General features: G+C 38.8%; 1 protein-coding gene and 1 pseudogene across 45 annotated transcripts in view, besides 2 other annotated features; one reads left to right on the forward strand and one right to left on the reverse strand.

Annotated features, from left to right (window-relative positions):
* CCDC7 (coiled-coil domain containing 7) overlaps positions 1–26,751 on the forward strand; it is a 439,541-nt gene that overhangs the window by 54,218 nt on the left and 358,572 nt on the right. For 41 of the 45 annotated variants that reach the window (NR_109826.2, XM_047425743.1, XM_047425742.1 and 38 more), the window contains 2 exons: positions 20,404–20,434; positions 20,875–20,964. The exons of 2 other annotated variants lie outside the window; for them this stretch is intronic. Coding sequence is in view for 41 of the 43 variants with exons in the window: in XM_047425743.1 (XP_047281699.1) it covers positions 20,404–20,434; positions 20,875–20,964 (121 nt within the window). In the remaining 2 variants the exon portion in view is untranslated. Of the gene's footprint in view, positions 1–13,967; positions 17,047–20,403; positions 20,435–20,874; positions 20,965–26,751 lie in introns of those variants that run through there. 2 more of the 45 variants (NR_109827.2, XM_011519668.1) reach the window with 2 other exon arrangements.
* Positions 4,502–4,693: a silencer, noted in NCBI's record as "fragment chr10:32790971-32791162 (GRCh37/hg19 assembly coordinates)". NCBI's record gives its function as "represses an EF-1alpha promoter that drives an FKBP-Casp9 reporter gene in an ReSE screen in HepG2 liver carcinoma cells {active_cell/tissue: HepG2}" and the evidence as "EXISTENCE:reporter gene assay evidence [ECO:0000049][PMID:32094911]".
* C1DP1 (C1D nuclear receptor corepressor pseudogene 1) lies at positions 13,087–14,255 on the reverse strand (annotated as a pseudogene).
* Positions 18,891–19,126: a silencer, noted in NCBI's record as "fragment chr10:32805360-32805595 (GRCh37/hg19 assembly coordinates)". NCBI's record gives its function as "represses an EF-1alpha promoter that drives an FKBP-Casp9 reporter gene in an ReSE screen in HepG2 liver carcinoma cells {active_cell/tissue: HepG2}" and the evidence as "EXISTENCE:reporter gene assay evidence [ECO:0000049][PMID:32094911]".

Consider the following 26,751-nt stretch of genomic DNA (forward strand, 5'->3'; position numbering starts at 1 on the left):
TCCCTCTACACAGTGCTTTAAATGTGTCCCAAAGATTCTGGTACATTGTGTCTTTATTCTCATTGGTTTCAAAGAACATCTTTATTCCTGCCTTCATTTCATTATGTACCCAGTAGTCATTCAGGAGTAAGTTGTTCAGTTTTCATGTAGTTGTTTGGTTTTGAGTAAGTTTCTTAATCCTGAGTTCTAGTTTGATTGCACTGTGGTCTGAGAGACTTGTTTGTTATGATTTCTGTTCTCTTGCATTTGCTGAGGAGTATTTTACTTCCAATTTTGTGGTCAATTTTAGAATAAGTGCAATGTGGTGTTGAGAAGAATGTATATTCTGTTGATTTGTTGTGGAAAGTTCTGTAGATGTCTATTAGTTCTGCTTGGTCTGGAGCTGAGTTCAAGTCCTGGATATCCTTGTTAATTTTCTGTCTCGTTGATTTGTCTAATATTGACAGTGGGGTGTTAAAGTCTCCCACAATAATTGTGTGGGAGTCTAAGTCTCTTTGTAGGTCTTTAAGGACTCGCTTTATGAATCTGGGTGCTCCTGTATTGGGTGCATATATATTTAGGATAGTTAGCTCTTCTTGCTGCATTGATCCCTTTATGATTATGTAATGCCCTTTTCTCTTTTGATTTCTGCTGCTTTAAAGTCTGTTTCATCAGAGACTAGGATTGCAAACCCTGCTTTTTTTTGCTTTCCATTTGCTTGATAAATCTTCCTCCATCCCTTTATTTTGAGCCTATGTGTGTCTTTGCATGTGAGATGGTCTCCTGCACACCAGTGGGTCTTTACTCTTTGTCCAATTTGCCAGTCTGTGTCTTTTGATTGCGGCATTTAGCTAATTTACATTTAAGGTTAATATTGATCTGTGTGAATTTGAGCTTGTCATTATGATGCTAGCTGGTTATTTTGCCCGTTAGTTGATGCTGTTTCTTCATAGCATCGATGGTCTTTACAATTTGGTATGTTTTTGCAGTGGCTGGTACCGGTTATTCCTTTCCATGTTTAGTGTTTCCTTTAGGAGCTCATGTAAAGGCAGGCCTGGTGGTGACAAAATCTCTCAGCATTTGCTTGTCTGTAAAGTATTTTATTTCTCCTTTGCTTAGGAAGCTTAGTTTGGCTGGATATGAAATTCTGGGTTGAAAATTCTTTTCTTTAAGAATGTTGAATATCGGCCCCCAATCTCTTCTGGCTTGCATGTTTTCTGCTGAGAGATCTGCTGTTAGTCTGATGGGCTTCCTTTTGTGGGTAACCCGACCTTTCTCTCTGGCTGCCCTTAACATTTTTTTTTTTTTCATTTCTACCTTGGTGAATCTGACAATTATGTGTCTTGGGGTTGCTCTTCTTGAGGAATATCTTTGTCGTGTTCTCTGTATTTCCTGAATTTGAATGTTGGCCTGCCTTGCTAGATTGGGGTAGTTCTCCTGTATAATATCCTGAAGAGTGTTTTCCAACTTGGTTCAATTCTCCCTGTCACTTTCAGGTACATGAATCAAATGTAGATTTAGTCTTTTCACATAGTCCCATATTTCTTGGAGGTTTTGTTTGTTTCTTTTTTTTTTTTTTTTTCCAGGAGGAAAAAAAAGCCTATTTAATGAACTCAGAAAAAATGAAGACAAAAGAAACATAAAATGAACATATGGCCTTTTCCATGATACATGCTGTTATTTTACCTGTCTTCTATTACTCATGTGTTATTCATCTTTCTTCCAGATTTGCATATTTCTCCATTTATACATAGGGAATTGGGAACTTTTAGAAGTTTTTCCCTGTCTCTGATGGATTGGACAATGTTTGCAATTCTAGGAGACATCTGATTATTCTTTCAAAATAAATTTATCAGAAGGAGTTTTGTTTTCTAAAATTATTGTGATTCCAGAATTATCTTCTGCTCTTCTGCTAATAAATCTCCTATCATTGTTTGGTTAATTTATTGGGAAGAAACTTGACATCCTGATGTAATCTTCTTTGTCCTGTGTTTTCCCAACCATGGTCATTATGGGAGAGGGTGACGGGAGAAAGGGCTGGGAAAGAGGGAGCCCTAATGTTGAATCTTTCTTTTTTATTTTTTTATTTTTTTTTAGTGTTTATTGATCATTCTTGGGTGTTTCTCTGAGAGGGGGATTTGGCAGGGTCATAGGACAATAGTGGAGGGAAGGTCAGCAGATAAACACGTGAACAAAGTTCTCTGGTTTTCCTAGGCAGAGGGCCCTGCCGCCTTCCGCAGTGTTTGTGTCCCTGGGTACTTGAGATTAGGGAGTGGTGATGACTCTTAACGAGTATGCTGCCTTCAAGCATCTGTTTAACAAAGCACATCTTGCACCACCTTTAATCCATTTAACCCTTAGTGGACACAGCACATGTTTCAGAGAGCATGGGGTTGGGGGTAAGGTTATAGATTAACAGCATCCCAAGGCAGAAGAACCTTTCTTAGTACAGAACAAAATGGAGTCTCCTATGTCTACTTCTTTCTACACAGACACAGTAACAATCTGATCTCTCTTTCTTTTCCCCACATTTCCCCCTTTTCTATTCAACAAAACCGCCACTGTCATCATGGCCCGTTCTCCATGAGCTGTTGGGTACACCTCCCAGATGGGGTGGTGGCCGGGCAGAGGGGCTCCCCACTTCCCAGACGGGGCGGCTGGGCAGAGGCGCCCCCCACCTCCCGGATGGGGCGGCCGGCCTGGCGGGGGCTGCCCCCCGACCTCCTGGACGGGGCGGCTGCCCGGTGGAGACGCTCCTCACCTCCCAGACGGGGCAGCTGCTGGGCGGAGGGGCTCCTCACTTCTCGGACGGGGCGGCCGGTCAGAGACGCTCCTCACCTCCCAGATGGGGTGGTGGCGGGGCAGAGACACTCCTCAGATCCCAGACGGGGTCACGGCCAGGCAGAGGCGCTCTTCACATCTCGGAGGGGGCGGCGGGGCAGAGGTGCTCCCCACATCCCAGACGATGGGCGGCGGGGCAGAGACGCTCCTCACTTCCTAGACAGGGTGATGGCTAGGAAGAGGTGCTCCTCACTTCCCAGACTGGGCGGCCGGGCAGAGGGGCTCCTCACATCCCAGACGATGGGCGGCCAGGCAGAGACGCTCCTCACTTCCAAGATGGGGTGGCGGCCGGGCAGAGGCTGCAATCTCGGCACTTTGGGAGGCCAAGGCAGGCGGCTGGGAGGTGGAGGTTGTAGCCAGCCAAGATCACACCACTGCACTCCAGCCTGGGCAACATTGAGCCCTGAGTGAGCGAGACTCCGTCTGCAATCCTGGCACCTCGGGAGGCCGAGGCAGGCAGATCACTCGCGGTCAGGAGCTGGAGACCAGCCCGGCCAACACGGCGAAACCCCGTCTCCACCAAAAAATACGAAAACCAGTCAGGCGTGGCGGCGCGTGCCTGCAATCCCAGGCACTTGGCAGGCTGAGGCAGGAGAATCAGGCAGGGAGGTTGCAGTGAGTCGAGATGGCGGCAGTACAGTCCAGCCTCCGCTCGGCATCAGAGGGAGACCATGCAAAGGGGAGAGGGAGAGGGAGAGGGAGAGGTGTTTCTTTCTTTTCACTCTTTTTTTGTCTAATCTTGTCTTCTTGCTTTATTTCATTGAGTTGATCTTCAATCTCTGATATCCTTTCTTCCGCTTGATCAATTTGGCTATTGATACTTGTGTATGCTTCACAAAGTTCTCGTCCTGTGTTTTTCAGCTCCATCAGGTCATTTATGTTCTTCTCTAAACTGGGTATTCTAGTTAGCAATTCCTGTAACCTTTTTTCAAGGTTCTTAGCTTCCTGGCATTGGGTTAGAACATGCTCCTTTAGCTCAGAGGAGTTTGTTATTACCCACCTTCTGAAGCATACTTCTGTCAATTCGTCAAACTCATTCTCCATCCAGTTTTATTCCCTTGCTGGTGAGCAGCTGTGATCCTTTGCAGTAGAAGAGATGTTCTGGTTTTTGGAATTTTCAGCCTTTTTGCGCTGGTTTCTCCCCATCTTTGTGGATTTATCTACATTTGGTCTGTGAGGTTGGTGATGTTGATACTATTCCTTTCTGTTTGTTAGTGTTCTTTCTAACAGACCCCTCTGCTGCAGGTCTGCTGGAGTTTGCTGGAGGTCCACTCCAGACCCTGTTTGCCTGGGTATCACCAGCAGAGGCTGTAGAACAACAAAGATTGCTGCCTGTTCCTCCCTCTGGAAGCTTCATCTCAGAGGGGCACCAGCCAGATGCCAGCCAGAGCTCTCCTGTATGAGGTGTCTATCGGCCCCTACTGGGAGGTATCTCCCAGTCTGGATACGTGGATGGTCAGGGACCCACTTGAGAAGGCAGTCTGTCCGTTGTCAGAGCTTGAACACTTTGCTGGGAGAACTGCTCCTCTCTTCGGAGCTGTCAGGCAGGGATGTTTAAGTCTGCTGAAGCTGTGCCCACAGTCGCCCCTTCCCCCAGGTGCTCTGTCCCAGGGAGCTGCGGTGGGCTCCAACCAGTTCGAACTTCCTGGCGGCTTTGTTTACACTGTAAGGTAAAACCACCTACTCAAGCCTCAGCAATGGTGGATGCCCCTCCCCCTACCAAGGTCGAGTATCCCAGGTTGACCTTAGACTGCTGTGCTAGCAGAGATAATTTCAAGCCAGCGGATCTTAGTTTGCTGGACTCTGTGGGGGTGGGACCCATTAAGCCAGGCACCAAGAGAATTTCCTGGTCTGCCGGTGGTGAAGACCATGGGAAAAGTGCAGTGTCTGGGCCAGAATGCACCATTTCTCCCAGTACAGTCTCTCATGGCTTCCCTTGGCTAGGGAAGGGAAATCCCCTGACCCCTTGCACTTCCCAGGTGAGACAACACCCCACCCTGCTTCAGCTCACCCTCCATGGGCTGCATCCACTGTCCAACCAGTCCTATTGAGATGTACTGGGTACCTCAGTTGGAAATGTAGGAATCATCCACCTTCTGTGTTGATCTCGCTGGGAGCTGCAGACTGGAGCTGTTCCTATTTGGCCATCTTTTTGGCTGTATCTGTTTTGATGCTAGGGTCATGCAGTTTTGATTACTACAGCTTTGTGTATTAGATTTTGAGATAATGTGATGCCTCCACCTTTGTTCTTTTTGCTTGTGATTGCTTTGGCTACTCAGGGTCTTTTGTGGTCCCATATGAATTTTAGGATCTATTTTTATTTCTGTGAAAAATGTCATTGAAATTTTCCTAGGGATTACATTGAATCTCTAAGTTATTTTGGGTAGCATGAACATTTTAACGATATTGTTTCAACTCATGAATATGGGATGTATTTTCAATTCTTTGTGTGTTCTTCAATTTATTTCATCAACATCTTATAGTTTTCAGTGCAAAAGATCTTTCACTTCTTTGATTAAGTGTATTCCCAAGTATTTTATTTCTTTTTATGCTATTATAAATGGGATTGTTTTCTTGCCTTCTTTTTTAGATAGTTTGTTGTTAATTTATAGAAACACAACTGATTTTTGTATTGGTTTTTGTATCCTGCAACTTTGTTGGATTCATTTGTTCTGCAAGTTTTTGGGGACATCTTTAGAGTTTTCTATATAGGAAAGTATATCATCTGGAAACAAATATGATTTTACTTATTCTTTTTCTATTTTGATGCATTTTATTTGTTTTTCTTGACTAATTGTCCTGGCTTGGACTTCTAGTACTATGTTGAATAGAAGTGGTGAGAGTGGGTATCCTTGTTTTTGATCTTAGAAGAAAAGCTTTCAACTTTTCACTGTTGAGTATAATAATGTTAGCTATGGGGTTCTGATATATGGATTTTATTATATTAAGGTACATTCCTTCTATACCTATTTATTGATGGGTCTTATTATGAAAGGATGTTGAATTTTGTCAAATGCTTTTTCTGCATCTTATGATCATATGGTTTTGTCTTTCATTCTGCTAATATGATGCCCAACATTTATTGATTTGCTGAATCATCCTTGCACTCCAGGGATAAATTCCACTTGATCATGGTGAATGATCCCTTTAATGTACTGTTAAATTTGTTTTGCTAGTATTGTGTTGAAGATTTTTACATCTATATTCATCAGGGATAATTTTCTTTTCTTGTGATGTCCATGTCTGACTTTGTTATCAGGGTGATTAATGAAGACTTGTGAAATAGTTTAGAAGTATTTCTTCCTCTTCAAGATTTTTGAAGAGTTTGAGAAGGATTGTATTAGTTCTTCTTTAAATATTTGGTAGAATTCAGCCATGAAGCCAGGAAGTCTTGGGCATTTCTTTGATAGGAGATTTTTTTATTATTGATTGACACTTCTTGGTCATTATTGGTCTTTTCAGATTTTCTATTTCTTCAGTCTTGGTAGGTTGTATGTTTCCAGGAATTTCCTAATTTTCTTCTAGGTTGTTCAGTTTGTTAGAATGTAATTTGTTTGTGGTAGTTTCTTATTATCTTTTTTTTATTTCTATGGTATCAGTTGTAATGTCTCATTTTTCTTTACTGAGGTTATTTGGGCCTTCTCTCTCTTTTTTCTTAGTCCAGCTAAAGATTTGCTGATTTTATCTTTTCAGAAAACTTTTAGTTTTGTTAACCTTTTCTATTGTTTTTCTAGTCTCTATTATTTATTGCTGGTTTTTTTTTTTTTTTTTTTTGAGATGGAGTTTTGCTCTGTCGCCCAGGCTGGAGTGCAGTGGCGCGATCTTGGCTCACTGCAAGCTCTGCCTCCCAGGTCATGCCATTCTCCTGCCTCAGCCTCCTGAGTAGCTGAGACTACAGGTGCCTGCCACAACGCCCGGCTAATTTTTTGTATTTTTAGTAGAGATGGGGTTTCACCGTGTTAGCCAGGATGGTCTTGATCTGACCATGTGATCTGCCTGCCTCGGCCTCCCAAAGTGCTGGGATTACAGGCATGAGCCACCATGCCCGGCCTATTTCTGCTCTTTGTAATTTTCTTCCTTCTATGAACTATTGGCTTAATTTGTTATTTTTCTCGTTCTTTGGTGTATCACATTAGGTTATTTATTTGAGATCATTATTTCTTTTTTAAGTAGACATCTATTGCAATAAACTTCCCACTTAGAACTGCTTTTGCTGCATTTCATGAGTTTTAGTATGTTGTATTTCCATTTTTGTTTGTCTGAAGATACTTTCTGATTTCCCTTTGGATTTCTTTTTTGACTCATCATTTGTTTAGGAGTGTGTTAATTTCTACATATTTGTGAATTTTTCCAGTTTTTCTCCTGTCATTGATTTCTAGTTTCAAATTATTGTCATTGGAAAATATACTTGATATGACTTCAGTCTTCTTAAGTATATTAAGACATGTTTTGTGGTCTAACACATAACGTATCATGGGAAATATTTCATATTCACTCAAGGAGAACGTATGTTCTGCTGCTGTTGGGTGGAATGTTTTGTATGTGTCAGTTAGGTCCATTTGGCCTAAAGTATCGTTCAAGTCCGATGTTTCCGTATTCATTTGTTGTCTGGATGAACTGTCTATTGTTGTAAATGAGGCATTACTGTAAATAGGCTATTATTATATTGCTGTCTGTCTCTCGATTCAGATCTATTAATAGTTGCTGTATGTATTCAGGTAGTCTTATCTCGATGCATATTATTTAAAATTGTTATAACCTCTTGATGGATTGACCCCTTTATAATTTTTTTTATGCCCAGCTAATTTTTATTTATTTATTTATTTATTTATTTTTTAGTATTTATTGATCATTCTTGGGTGTTTCTCGGAGAGGGGGATGTGGCAGGGTCATAGGATAATAGTGGAGAGAAGGTCACCAGATAAACACGTGAACAAAGGTCTCTGGTTTTCCTAGGCAGAGGTCCCTGCGGCCTTCCACAGTGTCCCTGGGTACTTGAGATTAGGGAGTGGTGATGACTCTTAACGAGCATGCTGCCTTCAAGCATCTGTTTAACAAAGCACATCTTGCACCACCCTTAATCCATTTAACCCTGAGTTGACACAGCACATGTTTCAGAGAGCACGGGGTTGGGGGTAAGGTTATAGATTAACAGCATCCCAAGGCAGAAGAATTTTTCTTAGTACAGAACAAAAATGGAGTCTCCTATGTCTACTTCTTTCTACACAGACACAGTAACAATCTGATCTCTCTTTCTTTTCCCCACATTTCCCCCTTTTCTTTTCGACAAAACCGCCACTGTCATCATGGCCCGTTCTCGATGGTCGCTGTCTCTTCGGAGCTGTTGGGTACACCTCCCAGATGGGGCGGCTGGGCAGAGGCGCTTCTCACTTCCCAGACGGGGCGGCCGGGCAGAGGCGCTCCTCACATCCCAGATGATGGGTGGCTGGGCAGAGGCTCTCCTCACTTCCCAGATGATGGGTGGGCGGGCAGAGGTGCTCCTCAGTTCCCAGACGGGGCTGCCAGTCAGAGGCGCTCCTTGCCTCCCAGACAGGGTGGCGGCCGGGCAGAGGTGCTCCTCACATCCCAGACGGGGCGGCCGGGCAGAGGCGCTCCTCACTTCCCAGACGGGGTGGCCAGGCAGAGGCGCTCCTCACTTCCCATTTGGGGCGGCTGGGCAGAGACGCTCCTCAGTTCCTAGATGGGGTGGCGGCCGGGCAGAGGTGCTCCTCACTTCCCAGACAGGGCGGCCAGGCAGAGGCGCTGCTCACTTCCCATTCGGGGCAGCCGGGCAGAGGCGCTCCTCACTTCCCATTCGGGGCAGCCAGGCAGAGGCACTCCTCACTTCCTCCCAGACGGGGTGGCCGGGCAGAGGCGCTACTCACTTCCCAGACGGGGCGGCCGGGCAGAGGCGCTCCTCACATCCCAGACGATGGGCGGCCAGGCAGAGACGCTCCTCACTTCCTAGATGGGGTGGTGGCCGGGCAGAGGCGCTCTTCACTTCCAGACGGGGCAGCCGGGCAGAGGGGCTCCTCACATCCCAGACGATGGGCAGCCAGGCAGAGACGCTGCTCACTTCCTAGACGGGGTGGCAGGCGGGCAGAAGCTGTAATCTTAGCACTTTGGGAGGCCAAGGCAGGTGGCTGGGAGGTGGAGGTTGTAGCGAGCCGAGATCACGCCACTGCACTCCAGCCTGGGCAACATTGAGCATTGAGTGAGTGAGACTCCGTCTGCAATCCCAGCACCTCGGGAGGCCGAGGGGGGCAGATCACTCAAGGCCAGGAGCTGGAGACCAGCCCAGTCAACACGGCGAAACCCCATCTCCACCAAAAATACAAAAATCAGTCAGTAGTGGCGGTGTGTGCCTGGAATCCCAGGCACTCGGCGGGCCAAGGCAGGAGAATCACGGGAGCCCGAGGCAGGGAGGTTGCAGCAAGCCGAGATCATGGCAGTACAGTCCAGGCTTGGCAAGAGAGGGAGACCGTAGAAAGAAAGGGGAGAGGGAGAGGGAGAGGCGACCCCTTTATAATTATATAACGACCTTTGTCTCATGAGGCAGCTAATAACTTAAAATCTCTCTTCTTATATAAGTATAGCCACTCATGCCTTCTTTTGGTTTTGATTTGCATGGAGTATCTTTTTCCATCCCTTCACTTTTAGCTTTTGTGTGTTCCAGGCTGGAGTGCAGTGGCGCGATCTCAGGTCACTGCAACTTCTGCCTCCCGGGTTCAAGTGATTCTCCTGCGTCAGCCTCCTGAGTAGCTGGGACTACAAGTGCGCGCCACCACACCCAGCTAATTTTTGTATTTTTAGTAGAGACGGGGTTTCACCATGTTGGCCAAGATGGTCTCGATCTCTTGAGCTTGTGATCCGCCCACCATGGCCTCCCAAAGTGCTGGGATTACAGGCATGAGCCACCGCGCCTGGCCTGTGTGTTCTTAAAGTTTTTGTGAGTCTCTTGTGGGCAGCATGTAGTTGGGTTCTTAAAAAAAAAATCCATTCAGCCACTTGACATGTTTTTGTTGGAGATTTAATCAATTTACACTTAAATATACATTCAAAGTAATTATTTATATGTAAGGACTTACTATTACCATTTTGTTTTTTGAGTTGGATTCTCACTCTGTTGCCCAGGCTGGAGTGCAGTGGTGCAATCTTGGCTTACTGCAGCCTCTGCCTCCTGGGTTCAAGCAATTCTCCTGCCTTAGCCTCCTGAGTAGCTGGAATTACAGGCACCTGCCACTATGCCTGGCTAATTTTTGTATTTTTAGTAGAGATGCAGTTTCTCCATGTTGACCAGGCTGGTCTTGAACTCCTGACCTCAGGTGATCCACCACCTTGACCTCCCAAAGTGCTGTGATTGCAGGCATGAGCCACTGTGCATGGCTCACTGTTACCATTTTGAAGGACAGTAATCATATGATCATTTCAATAGATGCAGAAACAGCATTTCGCAGCATTCAAAATCTTTTCATAGTAAAAACTTACAACAAATTAGGTATACAAGGAATTTTCCCCACATAAAAAGGCCATATTAGCCTACAGCTAACATTACACTCAGTGGTGAATAGTTGAAGACTTTTTCTCTAACAACAGGAAAAAGACAAGGATGCCTACTCTTACCAATTCTATTCAATGTAGTACCAGAAGTCAAATGCAGTAGCCAAGCAATTAGTCAAGAAAAAGAAATTAAAGGTATCCAAATCAGAATAGAAGAAGTAAAATCATGTGTTTATAGATGACATGAGTTCATATATAGAAAACCCTAAGGATGCTTCCCCCACCCCCATCAAATATAGAATGGTGCCACTCCCAAAACTCTTAGAACTAATAAATGTATTCAGTAAAGTTGCAGGTTACAAAATCAGCATCCCCATATCAGTTGTGTTTCTACACACTAACAATAACTGTGAAGAAGAAAACATTTAGAGTAGCATGAAAAGAAATGAAATATTTAATAATAAATTTAACCAAGGAAGTAAAAGATATGCACACAGAAAACTATAAAACACATGAGATATATTGAAGAAGACACAAAGAAACGGGACAGTATTGTATGTTCATGGATTAGAAGAGTTAATAGTGTTGCAAATAAGTCCATGTACCCAAAGTGATCTACAGATTCTGTGTGAATCCTATGAAAATACCAATGACATTTTTCACAGACATAAAACAAATCCTAAAATTCATATGCAATTTCAAAAGGCCTTGAATAGCCAAAGCAAATTTTAGCAAGAGTAGTAAGGCTGGAAGCACATTACTTTCTTATTTTTTTTTTTGATACGGAGTCTCACTCTGTCGCCCAGGCTGGAGTGCAATGGCACCATCTCAGCTCACTGCAACCTCCTTCTCCCAGGTTCAAGCAATCAAGCAATTCTCCTGCCTCAGCCTCCCAAGTAGCTGGGATTACAAGCGCCCGCCACCATGCCTGGCTAATTTTTTTGTATTTTTAGTAGAGACGGGGTTTTACCATGTTGGCCAGGCTGGTTTTGAACTGCTGACCTCAAGTGATCTTCCCGCCTTGGCCTCCCAAAGTGCTAGGATTACAGGCATGAGCCACTGTGCCTGGCATTTTTTTTTTTTTTTTTTTTGAAATGGAGTCTTGTTCTGTCACCCAGGCTGGAGTGCAGTGCCATGATCTTGGCTCACTGCAACCTCTGCCTCCTGGGTTTGAGTGATTCTCCTGCCTCAGCCTCCTGAGTAGCCTCAGATGATCCACCTGCCTCAACCTCCCAAAGTGTTGGGATTACAGGCCTGAGCCACTGCACCTGGCCCTTACTTTCTGATTTCAAATTATGTTTTAAAGCTACAGTAATTAATACAGTATGGTACTGGCATAAAATCAGACATATAGACCCATGAAACAGATTAGCAAGCGCAGAAACAAACCCAAGCATAGGTACAAGTGATCTTCAGCAATAGTGTCAGAAATAAACAATGGGGAAAGGATAGTATCTCCAACAAATGATACTGGGAAAAGTGGATCTCTATATGCAAAAGAATGATGTTGGACCTTCATGCCATGCATAAAAATAAATTCAAAATGCATTAAAAACTTACCTGTATGAGCTGAAACCGTAAAACTCCTCGATGAAAACATAGGAAATAAGCTCCATGACATTGGTCTGGGCAATGATTTTTTTGGACATTACACCAAAAAAAAAAAAAACAGGAAAAAAAGCAAGAATAAACAACTGAGATTACATCAAACTTAAAAGTCCTGCCTAAAAAAGGAAATAATAAAATGAAATGGAAAACTATGGAATGGGAGAAAATATTTTCAAACTGTACATCTGATAATGGGTCAATATAAAAAATATACAAGGGACTCATACAACTGAATTGAAGATAAAAAGTAATTAAAGGACTTGAATAGATATTTTTCCAAAGAAGACATACAAATATACATGGGTATGGGAAAAGGTACTTTATATCACCAATCATCAGAGAAATGTAAATCAAAATCACAATGAAATAATACATCATACTTGTTAGGTTGGCTGTTATTAAGAAAAAATGGTAACAATTATTAGCAAGGATTTGGAGAAAAGGGAACCCTTCAACACTACTGGTGGGAATGTAAATTGGTAGAGCCATTATGGAAAACAGTATGGAAGTGCATAAAAATTTAAAATAGAACTACCATATGACCCATAAGTGCCACTTCTGGGTATGTATCCAAAGGAACTTAAATCAATATGTCAGGGGGATATCTGCACTCCCATTTTCATTGCAGTAGCCAAAATATGGAAACAACTTAAGTATCCATAATGGATGAATGGATATAATGTGCCTATGCATACAACAGAATATTATTCACCCTTAAGAAATTAGAAAATCCTTCCATTTGTGACAACATGGATGGACCTGGAAGGCATTATGTTAAGTGAAAGAATCCAGGCACAGAAAGCAAAATAATTTAGGAGCTGAAAAGGTGTAGGCTAAAATGCACAAAGTTTCAGTTTTCCAAGATAAATAAGCTTTGTAGATCTATTATACAGCAGAATTCCCATAGTGAACAATACTGCATTGTATACTTAAAATTTTCTAAGAGGGTAGGTGTTTTGTTAATTTTTCTTAATAGCAACAGCAGCAGCAGAAACCATGACAAACAATTATGGTATTAATGAGGGCAGACGGAAACATTTGGAAATGAGGATCTCTTTGTGGCCTTGATGATGATGATATTTTCATGGGTATATTCATATCCCCAATTCATTGGGATAGATACAATAAAAATGTATAGCTTTTTGTTTTGTTTTGTTTTTATACAACATTTTCAGCCTTTATTGAGAGTACAGTCATCATGCCAAAATTCATCCATCAACATACAACCTTATTTCCCATCTAAAGTTAATGAGAATGTATTTTATTTTAAATGGGACATAGAGGCAACATGCCAAGAATTAAAGTACAACCATAAAGTTTTAGTTTTACACTTTGAATATCAACAAAGCAGTAATTCCTAAAATCATGAAAACATGATAAAGTATCTATACAGAAAAAAATGAACATTTAAGTCATTTCATGCTTTCTTAATATCATATAGTGAAAACAGATGTGCCTATAATTTCAGCCTACAGATAGCATACTTCATAAGGTCATTATTCATTTAAAATAGTACAAATGTTTACAAAGAACATTTCACTTAAATTTCACAGCTGCTTATAAAATGGTACTTGCAAGACTGACCTATATAAAGAAATAAGAGTCTCATCAAAAGAGATGGTAAATTATAAATATATAATATATCACAATGTTAAAATCCTCAGTGCAAATCAATAAAGATAATGATCTTTGGAGAGGAAAGTATTTAGCTTTACATATTTACTGTGAATTTACATATTAATAAGAAACACATTTAAACCTTGTCCTGCCACAGAATTATTCTGTGGGGGGCGGGGGGGGCGGGGAAATGTACTTTTTGAATATGTGTACACCAAAACCAAAAAGTTAACTTTTACTTTTTCCTTTATTGGCAACTTTTGATGCATTTTTCGGTTTTGGTTCCCAGAGGGCATTTTTTACAAATCTTGAAGCTGCACCTCTGTCCAGCTTGCCAGCCTTTTTCTTGTCTGTTATTTCCTTGACTCTGTTCATATATACTCTGATTCTTTCCAATTCCTGTTTTACTGGATGTTCCTTAGGATTAACTCCTTGGGTTGCCAAATAAACCCAAAACATTGAATTTAATGTGTATGCAGAAACCAAATCCACTTTTGCTTGTTCAAGTGGATCCAACTTCTGCAACAACTCATTTCTAGAAACAGACATCGTGGTCTTCAGCATCTCATCCACAGCACCAATGGAATTCTCAAACGCTGACAAATACTCGTGAATTTCTACTGGATAGTCTTCATTAATTTCTTCACCTGCCGTTATGGCTGACTCACGGCCTTCGACTCCAGCCTCCCGGAAAGCGGTCGGGCAACGATGACGACAATGACGCGCCAGCTCTGCCCGCGCCACCAGCGGCGCTTTCCGATGATCTCACCAATGTATAGCTTTTTATACACAAATTACATACCAATAAAGTGATTTAAAAGTATAGGATAAAATATAGAAACTAGGATTTTATTAAATTATTATGCATAAATTTATATAGTAGCAGGATAGGACAATCATGTTGGTCTTTGGGGGAGCTAATAGACATATTCTTCAGGATCTTGTCAGTGCATTGTCTAGCTGTTCACCTGTGCATATTGAGAAATAAATAAATAGGCATAGATCTAGAGGGCCTTGAAATTCTTTTGTAATTGTGGGACAAATTGAGATCTCAATTAGATATTGATTTGTTGGATGGTTTGTGAAGATATGATTCCTTTTTGGTGAACAGAATGCTTAGAACTAGTGTTCAGTCTTAGAGATGAAGTTGTTAAGTTAGATAAGAACAATGTACATTACCTGAATCATGTGGTCTGGACAGGAAAGCAGTCCTGTTAAGAATTCCTTCATGACATTTTTCTAGGGAGGCATAGATGTTACAAGTGAAGGTAATAGGCTGTTTTGCCTTTCAAAGCGTCTTTAGCCCAAGTGCATGCATCACAAATAGTCACCTTATGTCAGAATTGGAATCATAATAATTCTAACATGGCAAATTCACATTCGTGAATGAATTTCAGTGATTAGCTAGGGCATAGGCAAGGCAAAGGCATCCATGTGGTTAAAAAGTAATGACAGATTCTGAATTCACATCATTTAAAAAAGTAACATTGATTACAGACCTAAATGTAAGAAAATAAAACCATAAAAAGGGAGGGAATTCAACTCCCAAAACTGAAAACACCTCGTTCAAAATTGAAGCAAAGTTACAAGGTAAGCAGTAGACTGGGAGAAAAGATTTGTGCTCATACAGTAGAAAAAAGGAGTACTAATAAGAATCTATAACTCCCTAAAAACACATAAGAAAAATAGGCAAAGTATATAAAGAGGAGGTAACTAAGGGAAAGACAAAAAAATTGGCCAATAAACATTTTAAGAGATGCTCAATCTCACCGTGATCAGGGAAGATATAAGACAAAGCCATGACTTTTTTGTCTACAAAATTTAGAAGTTTTCTAATATCAACTATTGGCAGAGAGGTAGTGGAATGAATACTCTTACCATGCTAATATAATAGAAATTTCCCCCTTTCGAGGACAATTTAGCACAGTTTAGTAATAACAAAAGTGTATGCCATGTTATATAGCAAATCTCTTTTTATCTACCCTCGGGAAAGGAGTACAATGTGCTCAAGAAAGCATATAAAAGGAATTTTTTTTGCATCAGTGCGATGGTAGCAGAACTAGAAAGAACCTGTTTTTGTTAGTAGGAGTATGGCTCAATAATCTATGGTAAATGGATAATAAGGGAATACTATGAATAACTATGTGACCACAAATTAGATAACTTAGATGATATATATCTCTAGAAAAACCCAAACTAAACTGTATCAAGAAGAACAAGAACATGTGACTGAACTTATAAGTAGTAAAAGATTTAATTAGTAATTAACATATTCCCACCAAGAAATGCTTAGGCCAGATGACTTCACTTTTTAATCCTGTCAAATATTTAAAGAAGAGTTAATACCAGGCCTGTACAAACTCTTCTAAAAAATTAAAGAGTTCACACTTCTCAATTCATTCTATGAGATTAGTGTTACTCTGATACCAAAATTAGACAATCACAAGAACATAAATATGATATTTATTTTAAGAAGATAAATATATGTTATGAATATGAACATGAAAATCCTTACCAAAATACTAGCAAACTGAATCCAACAGCATATAAAAAAGATTATCTATGATGAACATGTGAGATTTATTTTAGGAATGCAAGGTTGATTTAAAATGCAGGTATCAATTTACATAATGTGTAATATTGATTAAATAAAGGAGAAAAAATTACATCAGTTCGCTAGATTCAGTAAATGCACTTGACAAAATTCAACATCTTTTTATGATACAAAGTTCCACAAACCAGGAATAGAAGGAAACTTCCTTAACCTGATGAAGGCCATCTACAAACCCCATGGTCAACATCATACTCAGTGGTGAGAATGAATAATTTCTCCCTATGATCAGGAACAAGACAAGACATTCACTTCTATTCATCATTATAGTGGAGGTTCTAGCAAGGGCAATTATGGAAGAAAAGGAAATAAAAGTGTCTGCATTGGTGAGGAAGAAGTAAAACTACCTCTATTTGCAAATGACATGATTTTAGATATAAAAACATCCTGAGTTCTGCTAAAACCTATTGGAAGTAATGAATGAATTCATCAAGGCTGCAATATACATGATCAATAAACAAAAACAATTTGTATTTCTATACACTAGCTGTTATGGGTTGAATTGTATCCCCTCAAAAGATATGTTGAAGTTCTCACCCCCTGCTACCTCAGGGTGACCTTATTTGGAAACAGGGTTATTCCCGATATTATTAGTTGAGATGAGGTCATACTGGAGTAGGATGGGCCCTTAATCCAACGTGACTAATGTCCTTATAGGAATTGGAAAAGACAGATAAACATGGAGGAAATACTGCTAATGTAAAGATAGAGACAGAGACTGGATTTATTCTGCCACAATCCAAAGAATGCCAGGGACTAACAGTGGCTAGAATAGGCATGGTGGTTTCCTTCCCCAGATATTTCAGAGGGAGCATGGCTGTGCCAACACTTTAATTTTGGATTTCAAGTCATCAGGCTGTGAGAAAATAAATTCTTGTTGTTTTAAATCACCCATATGTGGTCTTTTATTACTACAGCCCTAGGAAACAAATACACTAACTATGAACATTTCAAAAGTGAAATAAAGAAAACAATTCCATTTATAATAGCACCAAAGAGATCATACCTGAATTTAAAAGAAATGCAAGACTTGGGCACTGAAACTACAAAACATCATTGAAAGAACTTAAAGAACACCTACAGAAATGGATAGATATCTCATCTTCATAGACTGTTAAACTTAATATTTTTTATTTTCTTTTTAAGAAACAGGGTCTCACTCTGTCACCCAGGCTGGTGTGCAGTGATGTAATCATAGCTCACTTCAGCTGCTAACTCCTAGGCCCAAGGCATCTTCCTGCCTCAGCCTTCTAAGCAGCTAGGACTACAGGCATGAACCACCATGCCTGGCAATTAAAAAATTTTTTTTGTAGGGACAGGGTCTTGCTGTGTTGCCTAGGCTCGTCTTGAACTCCAGGCTTCAAGTGATCCTCCTGCCTTGGCCTCCCAAAGTTCTGTGATTACAGGTGTGAGCCACCACACCTGGCTTTAATAATCTTAAGATAGCAATACTTCCCAAATTGTCCTGCAGATTCAATGTAATTACTTTCAAAATTCCAGCTGACATTTTTAAAAAACTGACAAGCTGATTCTAAAACTCATGTGGAAGTGCAAGGAAGCTAGAATAGCCAAAGCAATCTTAAGAACAAAGTTAGAAGACTCATACTTAACTGATTTTAAAACTTAATACAAAGCTACAGTAACCAAGGCAAAGTGTTACTGGCATAAGGCTAGACATATAGAGCAATGGAATAGAGTTGAAAGTCCACAAATAAACCCTTACATTTATGAACAATTGATTTTCAAGGTAAGATGATTCAATGGGGGAAAGAAAAGTCTTTTTAATAAATGGTACTTGGGCAGCTGGTTATCCCCATGCAAAAGAACGAGGCTGGATTACTTATTTTTATTTTTATTTTTTTTTGAGGTGAAGTCTCGCTCTGTCGCTCAGGCTGGAGTGCAGTGGCACAATCTTGGCTCACTGCAAGCTCTGCCTCCCGGGTTCACGCCATTCTTCTGCCTCAGCCTTCCGAGTAGCTGGGACTACAGGCGCCTGCCACCACACCCGGCTAATTTTTTTTTTTTGTAGAGGCGGGGTTTCACTGTGTTAGCCAGGATGGTCTGGATCTCCTGACCTCGTGATCCGCCCACCTCGCCTCCCAAAGTGCTGGGATTACAGGCGTGAGCCACCGTGCCTGGCCTTGGATTACTTATTTTTGCCATGCACTAATGTCAAAATTATCAAAGAACTAAATTTAAGAGCTAAAACTATAGGCATTTTAGAAGAAGCATAGGAGTAAATCTTTGTGACATTGGGTTAGGCAGTGGTTTCTTAAATATGACATCAGAAGTACAATCAACAAAAGAAAAAGTTAGATCAACTTTATCCAAATTAAAAACTCTTGTGCTGCAAATGATACTATCAAAAACATGAAAAAAAACCACTCATAGAATATGAAAAATATTCACAAATCATATATCTGCTAAAGTACTTAGAAGAATATATAAAGAACTCTTATACCTCAATAATAAAAAGATAAATAATTCAATTAAAAATAGGCAAAGGATCTGAATAGATATTTCCCCAAAGAAGATATAGAAATGCCCAATAAGCACATGAAAAGATACTTAACATTGTTAGTTACTAGATTTTTTTTGTTTTTTTTTTGAGATGGAGTCTCGCTCTGTTGTCCAGGCTGGAGTGCAGTGACATGATCTCAGCTCACTGCAACCTCCACCTCCTGGGTTCAAGCAATTCTTGTGCCTCAGCCTCCCAAGTTGCTGGGACTACAGGCACCTGCCACCACACCCGGCTAATTTTTGTATTTTTCGTAGAGATGGGGTTTCACCATGTTGGCCAGGCTGGTCTCAAACTCCTGACCTCAGTTGATCTTCCTGCCTCGGTCTCCCAAAGTGCTGGGATTACATGCATGAGCCACTGGGCCTGGCTGTCACTAGTTTTAATTGCAAATCAAAACTACAATGAGATACCACTTTACACCCACTAGGATGGCTATATTCAAATAGACAACGCAATGATTTGTTGGCAAGTATGTAGAGAGATTGGGAACCTCATAATGGGAATTTAAATTATGTATCTGCTTTGGAAAAGTTTGCCGGTTCCTCAAAATGTTAAATACAGAGTCTGCATATGATTCAGAAATTCTGTGTCTAGGTTTATACATGAGATAAATGAAAACACATGTTCACACAAAAACTTGTACATAAATGTTCATAATAGCATTATTCATAATGGCAGAAAAGTGGAAACAAACAAAATGTCCTTAAAGTGTTGGATAAATAAAATGTGGGATATCCATATAATGGAATGTTATTTGGCAGTAACATAGATAAACATAGATTATTTGTTGAAAATAATCTATGGTCTATCCATACTGTGGAACAATGTCACCAAACTGTGTCAGCAAACTGTGGAACAATGTCAAACCTAACCTGAAACTTATTTTTGTAAATAAAGTTTAATTGGAATACAGCCATACGCATTGAAGAATAGTGACAGAGACCATCAGGCTTGCAGAATCTAAGATACTTACTATTTAGTTCTTTACAACTCCTGCTATGGAATAATCATTAGCGCTTAAAAAAACTGGGAAAGATCTATGTTTATGGACATGAAGAAATCTCAGACATTAAGTTAAGTGAAAAAGTAAGTTTGGAACAATATATACAGTGATGTCATTTATGTGAAAAAGAAAACTGAAATCCAACCCACTAATAAAAATTACAGAATGGAAAAGTTACATGCAGTATTGTGTAAATGCCTAGAACAAGTCCTGGAAAGGTAACAGTGATCCAATATTTCTAGGGAGAGTATTAAATTTTTGAAGTGCTAATCAAAGTGTCCGTTAAACTTCATCTGTATTAAAATCTTTACAAAGAAAATGTGTGTGTTAGGTGGGAATTGAACAATGAGAACACATGGACACAGGAAGGGGAACATCACACACCGGGGACTGTTATGGGGTGGGGGGAGGGGGGAGGGATAGCATTAGGAGATATACCTAATGCTAAATGACGAGTTAATGGGTGCAGCACACCAACATGGCACATGTTTGTTACATATGTAACAAACCTGCACGTTGTGTACATGTACCCTAAAACTTAAAGTATAATAATAATAAAATAAATAAAAAGAAAAAGAAAAAGTGGGATGCAAGGGAGGGCAGAATAAAACAGCAGCAACTAATTACTGAATACCAAAAGAAAAAAAAAGAAAATGTGTGTGTTTCATAAATTAAAATATAAATGTACAATTATAAACACACTTTTTTTGGTTTATTTTTCAGAGCTGTAAATGATCAAGTTTTGTTAGATGCTGTAAGTATAGTACTCTCAATTTGAAATTACACTTTGTCCTTGAGTTCTTAACAGATTCTAGAAATTGTCAGGATACATAATCCTATATAAAGATCCAATCCTTACTTAGTTTATTTAAGAGATTTGTATGCATATGTGAACTTTCTGGAAAGCCTTGTCTATTTTGTTCATTTTACTCTCATTATCACTCAGAAACTCTTCACTTCTGAAATACTAAACTATAATATCCTACAGTCATCTGAATAGTTCCAGTCCTTGACACGTGTAGATCTTTTATGCCTTTCAGCTCCAATTATTGTGTCACTCTACAGACTGATATCAATGTTTCATTCTTTTCATGAGTTAATGAAGACTTTCTTACCTTAATAATTAAATATCTGAATAACCTTTCTACATTGAGAGTTTTACTCTTCATTATTACTAAAATTATTTGTTTTTAGGAATACAAACAGATGCAGTGTGATTTTCAGTTGTTATCAGAAGAGAAGTTGGTGCTGGAAAATGAACTACAAAAGTTGAAGGACAAAGAGGTTGGAAAAATTTTAGTGTTTGAAAATGGCATACACCTAATAAGGCTTATTATGTTAGGATAGAAATCAAAGAGCTATTTAAATGTTATATAATATGTTTTTACTATTAATAATTCGTAGCAGCTATGCTTTAAAAATAAAATTATGCCATATTCTAAATTATCATATTAGGTGTCAAAACCAAAAGGATGCCATGAAAAAACATAAAATTTAAACATCTGAAAAGACATTTCTAGGCCAAATATTTAACTTTATTAAACTAACGGTAAATTAGTTTTCAAATATATTGTAAATGCATTTTGTGGTATTTTCTACAATTATGTAATGTGTGTGTCCCAGTTCATTATACCAAATAGAGTAAATAGAAATAGAAATGCAAGGATAAAGGAAAATTTGTTTCCTCTTGTATTTTATTATTCTCTTTGCCATTGTTAGAGAGCTTACAAATTCAAACTACAGACAATAAAGTCAAATACATTAGAAGTGAACTTTTATTAACCACTTAAGAAATTAAGATATATGATTGAGGAAAAATACTAAATTTCAATAATGTTGGTTGCTTGATATTTCTTCCTTACTAGGTGAGGAAGCAGAAATCATACAGGAGATTTGCTGTTTGATCAGTTAGAGAAGGAGTAGTCTTACACAGGTGTCAAATATAAGATCAGGGCTGTCATATATGTTCAGTTTAGGAATAGTTTTCCTTTAGGTATCATGCCAAATAGGAATAGAACATTGGTACAAAAAAACTAAAAATAGTAAATTGTCATGTTGAAGAACTGAGTAGTCTGACCAAGTGTGAGAATTTTGCAGCATCCTAATCACACACTGTTAGAACCACATTGAAAAAACGCTGGAGCTTCTTAGATGGCTTGAGGATGTTGCAGCAGTTTCTGGTTTTGCTTCCTTGTGTTTCTTCAGGTGTTTTGTCTCTAATTCTGCTCTAGAGAGCAATGGTTTTTGCATGAACTTCAATATATGATCTAGGATACAACAAGGTTTTCTTGTTTAATGCGTAGAAACTTTGGTGCTCATTTGGTAGGTTAGACTCTTACCCATTCTTTAAAACATTTAAAAAAATTTTTATTTTTGTGGGTACATAGTAGGTGTATATATTTATGGGGTACATGAGATATTTTGGTACAGGCATACAATGTGTAATAATCATATCATGGAAAATTTGGTATCCTCCTTAAGCACTTATCCTTTGTGTTGCAAATAATCCAGTTATACTTTTTTAGTTATTCTTAAATGTACAATTAAATCACTATTGACTATTGTCCCCCTGTTGTGCTATCAAATACTAAGTCTTATTCATTCTTTCCAACTACATTTTTTGTACCCATTAACCATCCCCACCTCCTTCTCACACTCCAAGCCTCTGGTAACCATCCTTCTATTCTCTATCTCCATGAGTTCAATTGTTTTGATTTTTAACCCCCACGAATAAGTGAAAACATGCAATGTTTGTCTTTCTATGCCTGGCCTATTTCATTTAACATAATGACTTCCAGTTCCATCTATGTTGTTGCAAATGACACAATCTCCTTTTTTATGACTAAATAGTACTCCATCGTGTATGAGTATTACGTTTTCTTTTTCCAGTCATACGCTGATGGACACAGAGGTTGCTTCCAAATCTTGGCTACTGAAAACAGACCTGCAACTAACATGGGAGTGCAGATGTCTCTTTGATATTCTGATTTCCTATTTTTGGGATATATACATATCAATAGGATTGCTGGATTGTATGGTAGCTCTATTTTTAGTTTTTTGAGCAACCCTCAAACTATTTTCCATAGTGGTTTTACTAATTCACATTCTCACCAACAGTGTATGAGGGTTCCCTTTTCTCCACATCATCCCCAGCATGTGTTATTGCCTGGCTCTTGAATAAAAGTCATTTTAACTGGGGCAAGATGATATTTCATTGTAGTTTTGATTTGCATTTCTCAGATGATCAGTGATGTTGAGGGCCTTTTTATATGCCTATTTGCCATTTGTATGTCTTGTTTTGAGAAATGTCTATTTGAATCTTTTACCCATTTTTAAATTGGATTATTAGATTTTTTTTCCTGTGGAGTTGTTTGAGCTCCTTATATATTCTGATTGTTAATCCCTCATCAGATGGGTAGTTTGGAAATATTTTTTCTCATTTTGTGGGTTGTCTCTTCACTTTGTAGATTGTTTTCTTTGCTGTGCAGAAGCTTTTTAACTTGGTGTTATCCCATGGGTCCATTTATTTTTTGGTTACCTATACTTGTGGAGTATTACTCAAGAAATTTTTGCACAGACCAATATGCTAGAGAGTTTCTCCAATGTTTTCTTGGAGTAGTGTCATCATTTGAGGTCGTAGATTTAAGTCTTTAATCCATTTTGATATGATTTTTGTGTAAGGTGAGAGAGGGTTCAAGATTCATTCATCTGCATATAGCTATCCAGTTTCCCAGCAACATTTATTGAAGAGACTGTCTTTTCCCCCACTGTATGTTCTTGGCACCTTTCTTGAAAATGAGTTCATCGTAGGTGTGTGGAATTTTTTCTGGGTTCTCTTCTGTTCCATTGGTCTATGTGTCGGCTTTTTTGCAACTACCATGCTGTTTTGTTTACTGTAGCTCTGTAGTATAATTTAAAGTCAAATAATATAATTTCTTCAGTTTTATTTCTTTTGCTCAGGATAGCTTTGGCTATTCTGGGGCTTTTGCGATTTCATATAAATGTTAGGATTTGTTTTATATTTCTGTGAAGAATATCATTGATATTTTGACAGGGATTACACTGAATCTGTACATTGCTTTGGGTACTATGGACATTTTAACAATATTGACTCCTCCATCTATGAACATGGAATATCTCTCCATTTCAATTTCTTTCATCAGTGTTTTATAGTTATCCTTGTAGAGATCTTTCACTTCTTTGGTTAATACGTAGGTGTTTAATTTGTGGCTATTGTAAATGGGATTACTTGTTTGATTTCTTTTTCAGATTATTCACTGTTGGTATATAGAAATGTTACTGATTTTTGTATTTTGATTTGTATCCTGTAACTTTACTGAATTTATCAGTTCTAAGAGTTTTTTTTTTTTTTGGCCAGTCTTTAGATTTTTCCAAATATAAGATCATACCATACCATCTGCAAACAAGGATAATTTGACTTGTTCCTTTCCAATTTGGATGCCCTTTATTTCTTTCTCTTATCTGATTGCTCTAGTGAGAACTTCCAGTACTATGCTGAACAACAGTCATGACAGTGGGCATTCTTACCATGTTCCAGATCTTAGAGAAAAGGCTTTCAGTTTTTTCCCATTCAGAGTGAAACTGGCTGTGGGTTTATCATATGTGGCTTTTATTATCGTTGAGGTATGTTTCTTCTGTAGCCAGTTTTTAGAGGATTTTTATCATGAAGGGATGTTGAACTTTATCAAATGCCTTTTCAGCGTCAATTGAAATGATCACATGGTTTTTGTCTTTCAGTCTGTTAATATGATGTATCACATTGATTGATTTGCATATTGTGAATCCCACTTGGTCATGATGAATGATCCTTTTAATGTATTGGTGAATGTGTTTTGTTAGAGTTTTGTTGAGAATTCTTGCATCAATAGTCACCAGAAATAGTGGCATATAGGCCTTTCTTTTGAAGAGCTTTTGTCTAGATTTGATATCAGGGTAATGCTGGTCTTGTAGAATGAGTTTGGAAGTATTCCCTCCTCTAGTATTTTTGGGATGGTTTTAATAGGGTTGGTATTATTTCTTTAAATGTTTGGTAAAATTCAGCAGTGAAGCCACTGGGTCCTGGGCTTTCCTTACTGGGAGACTTTTTATTATGGCTTTGATCTCGTTACTTTTTGTTGGTCAGTTCAGGTTTTGGATTTTTTCATGTTTCAATTTTGGTAGGTTATATGGGTCTAGAAATTTATTTCTTTTAGATTTTTCAATTCATTGATGTATAGTTGCTCATAGTAGCCACTAATGATTCTTTGAATTTCTGTGGTATCAGTTGTAATATCTCCTTTTTCATATCTGATTTTTATTTATTTCAGTCTTTCTCTTCTTTTCATAGTCTGACTAAAGGTTTGTCAATTTTATTTATCTTTTCAAAACACCAACTTTTTGTTTCATTGATCTTTTGTATTGTTTTCTTCATCAGAAATTCATTTATGTCTGCTCTGATCTTTATTATTTCTTCTACTAATTTTGGGTTTGGTTTGCTGTTACTTTTCTAGTTTTTTTGTTGCTTCATTAGGTTATTTATGTGAAATTTTTCTTCTTTTTTGATGCAGGCACTTGTAGCTATGAAGTTTCCTCTTAGTACTGTTTTTGCTGTATCCCATAGGTTTTGGTATATTGTGTTTTCATTATTATTTCTTTCATGAATTTTTTCAGTTCCCTTCTTAATTTCTTCATTGACTGATTGGTCATTCAGGAGCATATTTTTTAATTTCCATGTGTTTGCATAGTTTCCAAAATTCCTTTTGTTATTGATTTGTGGTTTTATTTCATTGTTGTCAGGGAAGATGCTTGATATTATTTCAGTTTTATTTGAATGTTTTAAGACTTGTTTTGTGACCTAACATATGGTATATCCTTGAAAATGATTCATGCACTGCAGAGAAAAATATGTATTCTGCAACCGTTGGATGAAATGTTCTATAAATATCTGTTAGTTCCATTTGTTCTGTAGTACAGATTAAGTTTGATGTTTCTTTGTTGATTTTCTATCTCAGAGATCTTTCCAATGCTAAAAGTAGGGTGTTTGGCCAGGGGCAGTGGCTCACGCCTGTAATCCTAGCACTTTGGGAGGTTGAAGCAGGCAGATTGCCTGAGCTCAGGAGTTCAAAACCAGCCTGGACAACACGGTGAAACCCTGTCTCTACTAAAAAATACGAAAAAATTAGCTGGGCATGGTGGCAGGCGCCCGTAGTCCCAGCTACTCGGGAGGCTGACACAGGAGAATTGCTTGAACCTGGGAGGCAGAGGTTGCAGTGAGCCGAGATTGCACTACTGCACACCAGCCTGGGTGACAGAGCAAGACGCTGTCTCCAAAAAAAAAAAAAACCGTAGGGTGTTTAAGTCTCCAGCTATTATTGTATTGATATCTATCTTTCTCTTTAGCTCTAATAATATTTGCTTTACATATCTGGGTGTTCCAGTGTTGACTGCATATATATTTACAATCATTATATCCTCTTGCTGAATTGACCTCTTTGTCATTATATAATGACCTTTTTTGTCTCTTCTTACAGTTTTTGTGTTGAAATCTATTTTGTCTGGTATAAGTAGAGTTACTCCTGCTTTTTTTTTGGTTTCCACTGGCATGGAATATCTTTTTCCATTCCTATATTTTCTGTCTATGTGTCTCTTTATAGGTAAAGTATGTTTCTTGTAGGCAACAAATTATTGGTTCTTGTTTTTTTTTTAATCCATTCAGCCATCACATATCTTTTGATTAGAAAGTTTAGTCCATTTACATTCAGTGTTATTATTCATAAGTAGGGACTTGCTCCTGCCATTTTTTAAATTTGTTTTCTGGTTGTTTTACAGCCTTATCTTTCTTCCTTCTGTCTTTTTTTTTTTTTTAGTGAAGGTGACTTTGTCTGGTGGTTTGCTTTAATTTCTTGCTTTTTATTTTTTGTGTATTCCTTGCTTGTTTTTTGATTTGAGGTTACCATGAGGCTTGCAAGTACTATCTTATAACCCACAACTTTAAACTAATGACAACTTAACACTGATTGCATGAACAGAATACACGTGGAAAGAAAACTCATAAAAACTCTACGCTTTAAT

This window comes from Homo sapiens, chromosome 10, assembly GCF_000001405.40.
Source record: "Homo sapiens chromosome 10, GRCh38.p14 Primary Assembly".
Classification (NCBI taxonomy): Eukaryota; Metazoa; Chordata; class Mammalia; order Primates; family Hominidae; genus Homo; species Homo sapiens.